Source organism: Homo sapiens, chromosome 5 (genome assembly GCF_000001405.40).
Source record: "Homo sapiens chromosome 5, GRCh38.p14 Primary Assembly".
NCBI classification, from domain to species: domain Eukaryota; kingdom Metazoa; phylum Chordata; class Mammalia; order Primates; family Hominidae; genus Homo; species Homo sapiens.
This window is the reverse complement of record NC_000005.10, coordinates 115,228,316-115,241,472: the sequence shown is the minus strand read 5'-3', so window position 1 is coordinate 115,241,472 and position 13,157 is coordinate 115,228,316. Positions and strand designations below refer to the sequence as shown.

The 13,157-nt window shown below is 35.4% G+C and overlaps 1 protein-coding gene across 4 annotated transcripts in view; it reads left to right on the top strand.

The window, feature by feature from the left end:
- The window catches only part of PGGT1B (protein geranylgeranyltransferase type I subunit beta), a 58,866-nt gene that overhangs the window by 21,405 nt on the left and 24,304 nt on the right, over positions 1-13,157 (top strand). For 3 of the 4 annotated variants that reach the window (XM_011543490.3, XM_005272020.4, NM_005023.4), the window contains exons 4-6: positions 3,464-3,615; positions 4,951-5,083; positions 10,452-10,497. In XM_011543490.3, coding sequence (XP_011541792.1) covers positions 3,464-3,615; positions 4,951-5,083; positions 10,452-10,497 — 331 coding nt within the window. The remainder of the gene's footprint in view (positions 1-3,463; positions 3,616-4,950; positions 5,084-10,451; positions 10,498-13,157) is intronic. The other variant, XM_047417314.1, reaches the window with a different exon arrangement.

The window sequence follows — 13,157 nt, the reverse complement described above, 5'->3', positions numbered from 1 at the left end:
AAGAAGTTACACAGAAAAAAACAGGCTTCCAGATTTCAATGTGGCTAAATGTTGTCTAATAATATATATATATTATAAACTGAAATCCTTTAAAGGAAACCTATACCTACTTTACTTCCTCAAAGAAGTGCACTTTCTTCCGGGAAGAATACATGCAGTACATAAACACACACAAATTTCTATTAATTGTTACAAAAAATTGTCTCAGTATCATACATCTGTGTGTAAAAGTTATTGGTGATTTCCTGAGTAAAGGAAAACAGAGCACTGAAGTGTTTTGATACCTGCTGTGTAAGAAGCCAGTAAACTTTGTTGTGTTTATAGAAAGACTCTACATTTAGCTCACATTTCTTAGGAATAAAAGAAAAAGCCCTTCTAAAGGCAGTGATTGAAGACCTAGGTAGTGATTATTTTAATGACTTTTATTAGAATATGCAGAACTTCTTCATGGTTATATCCAAAGGCCTTGATACCAGCACATGCCAATATAAAAACAGTGAGTCCTAACAGAGGGAGGAGCTTTATTTCTTCTTCAAAGGAGCAGACCCAGAAGAAACTTTGTAGGTGTTCCATATGTACACAAAATACAAGTATTTTTCTACAGTAGAAAGTGGAGAAAAGCATCATTTTTTCTAAAGCGGCCTCACACCATAGAAACTTTTTCCCTGATGGGGCCAGCCTGCTTATGTAATGGTTATAAGCCAGTATCTTGTTGGGCTGAGTATCCACTTGCAAGGTAAGTGGAGAGCTACCAGTTTTTCCGTAATCAGCTTCAAATTTTTGGAATAAATAGCAGTAATGTTGAAGAAGATGACATACTTTGATAGAGGTACTACTTCAGCTTTCTTCCTCTGCCTTAAGCTGTAAACCAGCTTGCCTGTGTCAAGGTCATATGAATTTACCAGCAGGACTCCAATTATGGGTGCCCACTGCATTTAGCAGGGAATGAGAAAACAAAGGATTCAGAAAATTTGTCCCTTTTCATGCCTATCATATTTTCCACCTTAAGCTAATCCAGAATACAGGTAATGTCTTCATTTAGTCATAATGAACAGAATATCGTGCCACTAGTTATGATGACCGTTATATAGTACTATACTATATATAGATGTCTACCTATATTTGTTACAGTGCTTTAATAACATTACTTTTAAAATATGATCCTTCCCCCAACCAACGCCTGCACCAAAACATTTTCAAAATAACAGGAGTAAAATTGAAGAAAAAACCATTATTGCCCTTGGTTCACAGAGTCTCCTGAAACTCCTTTTTGGACCTTCATTCACCTGCACCCTGATATCTTCTGGGCAAGCTAGGTCTCACTTCATGCTGTATTACCTTCATCTGAATTCTGGGTGGTAAAAGGAACTAGATATTCCAAGTGGTATCACATAGAACCGTCACTGAGAGTGGTGACTGAGCGTCTAGGAGACAGATTAGGCCAAGAGAATGTGAGGAGGCACATTAGATTGTCCAGTACAGTATATGAATAAAATATTGTCACTGAGTTTTCTTCTGAAGCCACCAAACTACCTATGGACCATTCACTGACTTACCTGATAAATGCTTGGGACCTTCAATGGCTGTAGAGCACTTTTTGAGAAACACTGATGGATCCTCCCACTATTGTCACAATTTCCTTTCACAAATCCCATGCTCTCTAGCAAATTTTGTGTTGTCCTTAATGTGCACCCCAGAATTATCCTTCTCTAATTTGCGTTTACTTTTTCTTCTACCTGTAATACCTCCTCTTCATCTATACCTGCCCAGGCTCCTCTTCTGCAGAAAAGAATTCCTATTTAAACCCATGTTATTATTATCCCTCCCTTATGACTACTCATTACATTCTATTGTAATTATTTGAGTAGACTTATCTTCTGCTCTTAAGGTTAAGGACCACATTTAATTTATGTTTGGCTTCCATGCAGTTGTTTTAACATAGCAGGTATTTACTTTAAGTATCAAAAAGTTAAATATGCAATAGGAATTCTAAGAAGTCAGTTGTAAATGTGGAATAGGATAGCCAGGAGAACTAGAGCTTGAGTTCTAAGGAGGAACTTAGAATGAAAGACATAAAGATGGAAATTTGCTTGGTACATTTGTGAGACCATATAAAGAACTGCATATCTGGCCAGGCACAGTGGCTCACACCTGCAATCCCAGCACTTTGGGAGGATGAGGAGGATGGATCACTTGATCTCAGGAGTTTGAGACCAGCCTGGGCAACATGGGAAAAACCTGTTCTGTACATAAAATACAAAAATTAGCTGGATGTGGTGGCAGGTGCCTGTAGTCTCGGCTACCTGGGAGGCTGAGGCAGGGCAGGAGGATTGCTTGAGCCTTGGAGGCGGAGGTTGCAGTGAGCGAGATTGTGCCACTGCACTCCAGCCTGGGTGACGGAGCAAAGCCTATCTCAAAAAAAAAAATGTGTATCTAAAGGTGGGTAGGTGGGGTGGGTTCAGATTATTATAAAAAGGGTAGTGAACACCATTCAAATTCATTCTGTGAGGAACCATAGAAGGTAAGTATGCAAGAAAATCTTACGATTCATGGGTGGTTTCAAGACCCTTGGATCTTGACTCCAAAGAACTAGTGGTCCGTCTGATATTTGCCTTGCACTTAGTCACCATTAAGATAAGTAACAGCTTTTTAGACAGTAACTTACTTAATCGTCACAATAACCTTGTGATGTACTAATATCTTCATTTTCTAGGATTAGGAACATTAAGCAAGCCAGTGAGAAATAGAACCAGGATTTTATGCATTTCAATGATTGTAAAAGTTTACATTTATTATAGAAGGCAGAAGAGTTTATTTTAATTGTATCGTTTTTTAGTTTCTTATATGGTGATCACTACTGTGGTATTTCATTTAGATTTGTGCTATATAAAATAAGTTTTGTTTTAGAAATCTTTTTTTCTGGAAGGCTATATGCTTTTCTGACTTTATAAGACTTAAATTATAAGTGATAGCGTGATTAAGTTTGAGGTTTAAATAATTTAGCCAGGCATGGTGGTTTGTGCCTGTTGTAGTCCCAGCTACTCTGGAGGCTGAGGCCGGAGAATCACTTGAGCCCAGGAGTTGGAGACTGCAGTGAGCTATGATTGCACCACTACAGTCCAGCCTGGGTGACAGATAAGACCCTGTTACTAAAAAAAAAAAAAAAAAAAAAAAAAAAAAATCCAAAAAAATAAGTAATACATAATTTGCTTTACCTGAATATCATAACTACTTCCATAATGCCTGAGGTATCAAAGAATTTAAAGATTAAGTAGCCTGTGCAATCATATTCATATTGAGACATACATAAAATGGAGATTTGTTTTTCTCAATAAGATGTCTATACAAATCAGTATAAGCCATATTTAATTTTACTATTTACTAAAACCTTATGTCAGATTTCTTAATGAAATAAGTTTTCATTTCACTTCATTAATTAGTACTATATTAATTTTGTATTTAGGCTCCTGGAACAGCTCATCCTTATGATAGTGGCCACATTGCAATGACCTACACTGGCCTCTCATGCTTAGTTATTCTTGGAGACGACTTAAGCCGAGTAAATAAAGAAGCTTGCTTAGCGGGCTTGAGAGCCCTTCAGCTGGAAGATGGGAGGTATGAGTGATTCTTTGTTACTTTTTTTGTAATAAACAAAAATATATTGGAACTAAAAAATGGATACAGTACTATACTAGATCTTTAGAGGATCATACTCTATTAGAACCCCACCTAAAGCTTACGAGGTACATAATTAAGTGCATAGTCAAAAAAGTGACCTCAGATTTCCTCTGTGAGTGAAAATAATAGTAATTACAATAGCCAAACACCTTTATCTTCCTTCTTAATAACAATGGGTACATAAATAAATGGTTGAATAATTTCAGGATTGGAATCTAATTTACATTCTAGATGAAAAATTGATATTTTGAAGTACGCATACATTTAGTCTGGACCTCAGTTCCTTGCTTTATGGTGATTAGGGAAGAAAGGGGTGAACACTGAATATTGTATTCCAGAGTAGGTAGTTTCCATGACATTTTTAAAGGATAGAAAAAGGAGTTCGTATGTTCATTGATATTTGGTGATTCACATAGTGTGTCTAAAGATGAATCTTCCTGGAGCTTTAAGGTAGAAAAAAAATTTTAAGTCTGAGAAGCGATAAAGCAGTAGTGAAAAGATTAAGGAAAAGACTGCAAACAAATCCTGCTGTGCTGTTAACTCTTTGTGCTCCATCTACTAATAGCTCTGTTTTCCCGTCAGTGTTTTCAAAACACTGCTCTTGATGAGGGAAAAATAAATGTAGACAAGTAGAATAAATTGACATTAATTGGAAACCCTATGAAACTAAATATTTACTTCATCCAGTACATATATGACTTATGTCTCAATATTTCAGTGTAGTCTTTGATTATTGCTTCCTTATTCTTGTTTATAAATACATACACAACATAGATTGCTGCCTCTCTACAACTAATATGTAAAATTAAAATACAATATGATCAATCGATTAAATGGTTATCTGTGTATACATTTAGAAGAAATTTCACATAGAAAAACTTGGGCTTGGAAATTTCGTATACCCAGTAGGTCTCAGGTTTTACCTTTTACTTTTTCTGCCATTCTCAAGCCAGTATACTGCAGCTGTCCCTGGCTAGGATCAAATAAGCTTATGCTGAGTAAGCATCCAGGAGGGAGTAACATGGTAGTGTGTAAAAATACCAAGAAGTCAAAAGTTTGTAGTAGAATGATGATTTAGAGAAAGTTTTATATTATTCAAGTTAGTAGTCTTATTCTTTATTGAATAATAAAAGTAGAATATTGAATAATAAAAGTAGAATAATCAACAGATTTTTCTGTTAGTAAAGACAAGCAGGAGGTGTTTCTAACCCCCATGCAAAAAAATCAGAGTCCAGTGTTAATAGAAAATCATATTGTTGTTATTATTTTCAGTTTTTGTGCAGTACCTGAAGGCAGTGAAAATGACATGCGATTTGTGTACTGTGCTTCCTGTATTTGCTATATGCTCAACAACTGGTCAGGCATGGATATGAAAAAAGCCATCACCTATATTAGAAGGAGTATGGTGAGTTCTGTTGATAAAATTGACTATTTAGGTTGTTTTTGCTGGTACATGAGGGCTGTATTATAGTGTATGTCTCATCTCTTCCGCCAACAATTTGTAAATAAGAGCATTAAGATTGCTTTTTGGTAAATTGTGTATCAGAACACAATAAAGAAATAATCTTAAAGTGCAGATTGACTCCTTGGCCATTAAAATTTAATATGATTTTATTTAAAGAAGCAGTATCTTTATAAGAAAGGGATTGGTTGACTTAAAAGAAAAATAAGTAAAATCTGAAAGTCGAATATTGACAGCCTATTCTAGCAGGAGTTAGTAGAGAGTCCTGACACGCAAACTGGAAGATTATGTTATCTTTGGTGAGACTATTTCTCTCATCTTTTTATTGGCATTAGTAAGGAAAGCTTAGTCTTAGCCAGAACTATCCTTTGCTCTACTGTGTCATCTCTGTATAAAAGGAGAAATAAAACTTCTGCATTCCAGGTTTATTATTTCCCAAATATGAAGTTTTTCATTTTATAGATTATTTTGAGGCTGTTAGAATATTTTAGGCTGTTAATTCAACTTTTCATAGGCAATATTTCAAAATGAAAATGCCTGTGAGTTCCTAAGAAGAATGGAGTTGCATTTAAGTGAGTGTGTAACAGTGGATCATATTTTTGTAGATTCCACAACAGCCCAAATTTTAAAAAGCCTCTGGATACAGAAAGAAGATACCATTAAAGGAGTTTTAAGAGGAAAAGAGATTTATGTTTGATAGGAGGGTGGGTGATAAGAATTTTTGGTATGAATAGTACAGAAGTAATACTGTCTTCTCAGTGCACTGTATTTGGAGGTGCAGCAAGTTGATTTGCCCTGTGTCTGCTCACTTGGTTAAGGTGGCATATGCCAGAGTTTTCTCTGTAAAGTTAGTGTTTTTCCCTTTGTAATTACCGAATATCTTGTGGTGAGATACCTGGAGACTAAATATTCAGTGAGTCCCTAATCAAATTTTTATCCAATAGTGTTGTTAGTATGCATTGATGATTTTCCAGCTCTAGCATCCTTCCTATAAATATCAGTTAAAATTCTACTGTTTGAAAAAAACTTTCTCTCTGCATTTATTTATTTACTTATACTTACTTATTTATATCTCTATGGACTTCAGTTTCTTATTTTATTCAGTGGGTTGTAATCTGTTACTGTCATTATTTTGATGCTCAGATTGTCCTAGATTAGGCCTGTGGAACCCCTTTTAGTAGGCTCTATGCCCTTTTGACATGTTACCCTCATTCTTTGAAGACCTCCTTGCTTTCTGGCACAAGATATTCCAGGTTTATCTTCTACTTTTCCATCCTCAGCTCTGGAATCAGTCATTTCTTTGAGGAGCCTTGGTTATTCTTGTTGGAGGATAGGGTTTAGAAACTAGAATCTGGGTACTAAGTATGCTCATTGGTATTGCGATGTCATTACTTCTAGGCCTTTTCTCGGGCAGAGATAGGAAATGTATGTGTACATAGGCATCCCCTTACAGACACACAGAATCTATATTTCTGTATCTATTTATATGTCTATATATTAAAATCATGAATCTATCGTGATGCCTCAAATTTCAGTCTTAACACCACAGGGCTCATTTTAACTTTCGTCCTTTCATTTATGACTCCATTTCTGATAGTGACAAGCAGTCCTGGCTCCTATTACCCAGAATACATTGGTTCTTTTTGTTTTGAGTCTGAGGGCATATAGTCAAAGTACTATATTTAAGAAGTACTCCAGTTACTTATTTTATTTCCCCCCTTTAATATGGTTATGTTATCTGTTTGAAGTACCATTAGGTTATTTGTTTCTCTTTGAATTCCATTTTAGGCTTTTCCTTCACTTAGCTCTCTCCTGCCCACAACTTCGTTGACTTTATTTATTTACTTAATATGTGAAAAACTAATTTGGTTCTTAAGGTCAGAACTATACAAAAAGATATATACAGAGAAGTGTGACTCCTTGCCCCTCACCCTCCCTGTATTCCCCCCTCTTCTTAACTCCCATACTTAACATCTTGTTCCCTGTCACCCTGTAGGTAACTATTCTCGTTAGTTTTCAGTTTATCTTTCTTACATTTCTTATTGATGAGAAGATATGGATATTTTTAATGCTTTTCCTTTCTTCATAAGGTAGCATACCATATTCTTTTTTTTTTTGCTGTTTGCTTTTTTCACTTAACAATATAGCTTGGGAGAAAAAAAAAAACACCAATACAATGTGAAAATTACTCCTTATCAGTTCAGAGAGATTTTTCTCTTTTTCTTATAGTTTCCTATTATATTACTCCACTGTGTGGATGTGCAGATGTACCATGGTTTTTTTCAGCTATTCTACATTTAGAGCATATATTTTGCAATTACAAATAATGCTGTAATTAATAACTTCCTGCATATATATTTCTATATTGTTATAGATACATCTTCAGGGTAAATTTCTGGTAGTGGAATTGCCTGATCAAAAGGTAAATGCATATGTAATTTTATTAGAGATTGCCCATTTTCTCTCCAAAAAGGATAGACCAGTTTGTTTTCCTACCAATATAAGAGAGTGCCTGTTTTCACATAGCCTCACCAATAAAAAGCGTTATACTTTTTTTGTTTTTACCTTTTTTTCTGGTAGTCGAAAAGTGATATTTCAGTATATTTTTAATTTTGCTGCCCTCCTCTCATGATTTTTCATTTTATTATTTCTTTTATTATGAGTGTAATTGACCATTTTCTTAACTCGAGGGCCATACAAATCCAGACTGCAGGCCAGAGTTAGCCTTTGGGCCATTGCTGACCCCTAGTTCTAGTCCATTATTTTGCATTTGCTTTTTTTTTTTTTCCTTCTTTTTTTTCTTTTTAGGAATTCCATTTTAGTGTCTGTTCTTATTTTTTTGCCTGACCTTCTTTTCAGCCACTTTCTCTTTGACCTTTTTGACTTATCTCATTTTTATTCTCTTGGATGTTTTCTCCTTTTTTCAGTGTCCCTTGTATTTTCATTTGAGATTATTCTTCCTTAGTCATCCTGTAATTTAAAATTTATTTCTTATTTTGTCTTTTTCTTCTATTTCTTTTCTAACACTATTTCTCTTTTTATTTCTATTGTTTGTTCATCTGTTTTTAGCTTTTAATTTCGTTTTTTATTTCCAAATGGTTGTTTGAGGGTATGTATTTGAGTGTGGAGTGCTACATTACAGTTTTCTTCTGATTCATGCCTATTTCTTGGGAGTAGAGGCAGATTTTCATATACTTAGGTGTTAGCGTTTCATTTGCTGTATTTTCATCTCAGAGTTACTTTGTATGTTAGTGATTTTTATTTTTTCTGATAAGAATTCCTAGTTTAAGATTGTTCTCTTCATTGTAATGCAGTATGCTTTCTTTACTGGGTGGCTTTTTTTGTAGCTGGGGTTGTTCTATGATTTTTCTGATAGGAAAAAGGTTCTCTTTTGTTTCTCAGGTATCTAAATTTTGCTTTTTTGAGCTTTCCTTTATCACCTGATTTTCAAAGGGCTTCTCCCTCCTTTTTTAACTTTCTTCACCAAAATTTACACTCTTTGAGCCCTGCCACTTTGACTTGCACATTCTTTTAAGTGCCTTCCATATAGCCAGTGCTGTGTTTACCAGGCCTCTTTCTGAACAGGCTATCCTCATTTTGCATGACAGTGCCATACTATAATGATAACCACACAAGCTGAAATGATACAAGGTGATTTTAATCATCAATGGGAAAAATTATGATTGTTTTATGACCTTTAAAATTTTTGCCAAAACTTTGAAAACTCTTCCTGTCAGTTATAAATGTATGATGTTTTAAATAGTAAAATCAGTATATAGTATACTATGATGTTTTAAATAGTAAAATCAGTATATGGTATACTATAATTTAAAACATTAGAAATATTGTGAATATTGCCTTCTTCTCATTATATAAATTATAAGATGGAGTATTTTTTCTGTGTCTTGGCAAATGACCACAATCTAAGTTTCTATCAGCTTCCAACGTTGTGTGTTTTGTGTTTTCAGTGTTGTGAAGTCGCTGAGAATTCCTTTTATGTGAAGTTTTTTTGCCCATAGCAGTTCCCTAGAACATCTTCCTCTTTTTTTATCACAAGCTCTTCCCTTGCTTATAGATGTTTCACCTTCACTTAGTTCTTCTGGTGGTATACCTAGAGTCTCAAACAGCAATATTATCAACATTCCCGTAATAGCTGTTTCTTCTATAACTCTAATTTTAAGTTCATACCCAGTGTTAATGCTTTTTATTTCTTTACTGCACTTTCATCTTTGTTGGCCAAGCCCCTCTTTCTGTTATGCCTTTTAATAAAACATCATGTGGGTTTATCACTGAGAGACAAAGAACACAACCACAGTCTGCTATCTGTGTGTGAACTGAATAACATGAGCAATGACCAATTCCTAACAGACTTTGAAAAAGGTGGTATGATTGATCACTGATCGCGATGCACATGTGTTATTTATGTAGTGATTTGCAGAGTGAAGAGCCAGCAACGGAGTTTTGTACTTTTTGCAATTATGGTTAATATGCTGCTGTGGTTACTGAAGTTTGTTGTGTTATTTAGCTAAACCATGGCAACTGGAATGTGTGCATAAGAGAACTGTGCAAAGTGAGAACTGCCTGTATTTCTCATATTTAGGGTGGACTTTCTCTTAGGCAGTGATTTTAGATCAATCTCAGAACTACTGTTAGCTCCCCTCCTCTCATGATTTTTCATAAATCACCCTTGCTCTCTGCAAAGGTGTGTAGAGTTGCAATAGACGGCTTGCTGGGATTTGATGTTTCTTTTTCTGTAGACAGGTAATCTGAAGCTTGAGTGTGTCTTCTTGCTTTGCTAAGATTTGAGATTTCAAAGTTTTATTGTTCTTCTTCTGTTTTGATTTTGGAGTGTATGTGGGGAGATTCAAATAATGGTACCCAATAATGGCTACCATTATTCTCAGTGACCCCAGACTGCCTCAGAATAGACTTGTTTCATGTTTATAATGTTCTATCAGTATGAAATCCTTACATTTTCCTCCAGCTCACGTATACTTGCAATGGTAAAGGAGTAAGGTTTGGAGCTTTTATTGAGTAGGGATTGAATATGTAGATAACTTTGAATAATCTATTCTCAGAATGTGCCTAGTGTATGCATTTAGTGATTTGGCTTGGTGAATAAGAAGAGAAAATCAGGTATTTGAAAATGCCTAATTCTACTTCTCCATGGGGAAAAACGCATATTTTGGAAGATGTAAAGGAGAAATAAAATTTAAAGAGACCTAAAAAACTTAGTTCATTGGCAACTTATTTATTCATTTATTATTATTATTATTTCCCTATTAAACTGAACAATGTTTTTCTTTTTCAGTCCTATGACAATGGACTGGCACAGGGAGCTGGACTTGAATCTCATGGTAAGACATCTTAAATAAGTGAACATGTAGTTTCTTTTGTTCCCTTAGACAACATCTTGGTGTCTTCAGTATGGAGAACCTCAGAAGTTTTTCTCAACCCTTGGTGCAGCATAATTTTCTTCTTTGTCACTTTCCTGATTCTCTTTTGACACCATTTTGTCTATTTGAAGCCTCTTTGGTCAGTAATCATTCAGGTGTTATTCAGGCTGGGATGTTCATATGATGTTTTCTAGTAATCTATTCAAGTGTTATCTGCATGAAAATATCTTGGGATTGTTTCTTACACTATCATTAGAAAACAACAGGTTTTCTTTGGCATAACTCTAAAAGGCTAGACCAAATATAGAATATTAAATATGAATGCACAAGTTCATGAAGAAATGAACATTTTTATTTTCCTTAACAAAATTATTATTAGTCATAGTTGTAAAACATTTTGCTGCTTAGCTTATATTCAGTGCAAACATTAATACAGTCTTTTCTTTCATGTTTTTTTCCACTTTGGCAGAACTAGAATAATGATGTGATAGTCACTAAGTGTCAGCACATCAATAGCCTGAATTCTCTCAAGTTGAAATTTCCATTTGGAGATAAATAAGCTTCCATTCTTCTTTTCTAAAAAGAAAAAGGCCAGGTCATGGAGACTCTCTGAGTGAATTTCACTTTCTTCCTCATCACAGCAGTTTTCCATATAATTATTTGTTATCTCCATCCCTTTGCTAGCATAATGTAGCAGAAAGAACAGATCAGTGTTCTTGTCTCAGCCCTGACACCAACTGAGTGACCTTGGCTCCTCATGTAATTTCTCGGAGGGTTTCCTCATCAACAGAGTAGAAAGAATTCCATCTTTCTTTAGGATTGTTGTTAGTATTATAAGAGATATGGGGGAAAGTGGTTTGTAAATCATAAACCTGTATAAAAAGATATTTCTAACAAATATTCCTTAATCCCATAGCCTTGTATACATTCTGGGATTTTGTCCTATCAAGTATTTCCTCCTCTTCTCACCTCTTCACTCCCTCCTTCAATTTAGGTAGTTGTAGAGTATGTGTCTCTAAGGGGTATATAGAACACTGTCCTGGAGTTTCCTCTGAAGCCATACTATAATTATGACACCATAGTTTTTGTGTGTGCCTGAGTCTCTATGAGATGGAGGGTGGGAGGAGCTGGCAATAACAATTATGTTACTAGTCATCACCACATGATCAAGAGGGATATAGTTATAGTTGTACAAAGAGGAAATCTGGCGGCTCTAAGAATTTCTAAGAAGACAGGATCTGGTGTTTACTATTGTAGGTGGTATTAGTGTACACTCTGGCTAAGGAGTCACCTCACCTGTGAGACAGCTGATATTATTTCCAAGACATTGGGATTATATTCTCTGGAATATGAAACAGAGGGGCTGCCCAAACATGACACTGTCTAATGGGTCCTGTCAGGAAAAAATCTTCCTGAGTTATACAAGTCATGATTTTGAATTGGTATGGCTTGAGTAGGCTGTACCCATTAGGATCATCAGTGATGGGCTATAGTTCATGCCCAAAGCGTATATCTTCCTTCTATCTATAAATTTGGCTTGGTAGGTTTGAGGCCTAAAGCCCTAGAGGAAGGCCTTTTAATCATAGTGTCACAGTGTATTTGTATATCTTAAATAGGTTATTATACCAAAGTATAGCCCCTTCAGCCTTTGGAACAACCAAGCAGGACCTGGGTATCTGGAGTCCCTGGTAAGGTTGTCTCCGGCCAGGAGCATCTTCCTCAGTATTACAGTATGGCCTACAAATACCAAATATTATAATTTTCTTTGTGTGCTATGAGGTTAGATAGGCTGGGAAGTACTACCCTAAAGGATTTTGGTTTAGTTTTCTTTCCCCTTCTCATCACCATCTATACTAGCAAGTGAAACCTCTTTCTAAAAAGTAGTCCTGCAGTTTGGCAACCCATCAAGTCATTGTGTTCTCTCTTTTTCTTTTTTATTGTTACTGTCTTTGGAAAAGTGTTCCAAATGTACTATTCACCTTTCTTCACAAATGACTTGTTCTGTAATTCTCTGTGTAAGCCTTTAGCAACTTAGGAAGTTTGTCTTTGAAAGTCATGAGTGATCTGTATTTCAAATCCAATATCTTTTTCTCATTCCTCATCTTATATTTATTGAAGCATTTGAGCTATTAACCTCCCCACTTCTTTCTTAAAACGTCACATTCCACTTGTCCTACTTCCTCATGAATTAGTTCTGGTTCCTTCACCATCTTTGTTTCTTCCTGTCACTTCTTTACCTCAGTTCAGCTTTCTTTTCTCTGAATAGTTCTTCCTAAATCTCAAGGCTTTTGTACATGCTGTTCATTGTACATAGAATCTTCCTCCATCATCCTCCACCCCCAGCATACACCTGGTTTTCTTTCACATCCTTCAGATCTTGGTTCAAGCTCGTGATTTAAAATTGCAAACCACCCAGATACACATGCAGTATTTATAATAGAATTGCAAACCAACTGCACATACACATCCCATTCTCTAACCCCCTTTCTAGATTTATCTTTCTCCACATCACTTACTATTTTATAAACGACCTATGTTTTATCTATTTGTTTATTGTCTGCTTCTTCTCACTTAAACCTCATGAGAACAGAGTTTTTTGCCTATGTTACAAACTGATGTAT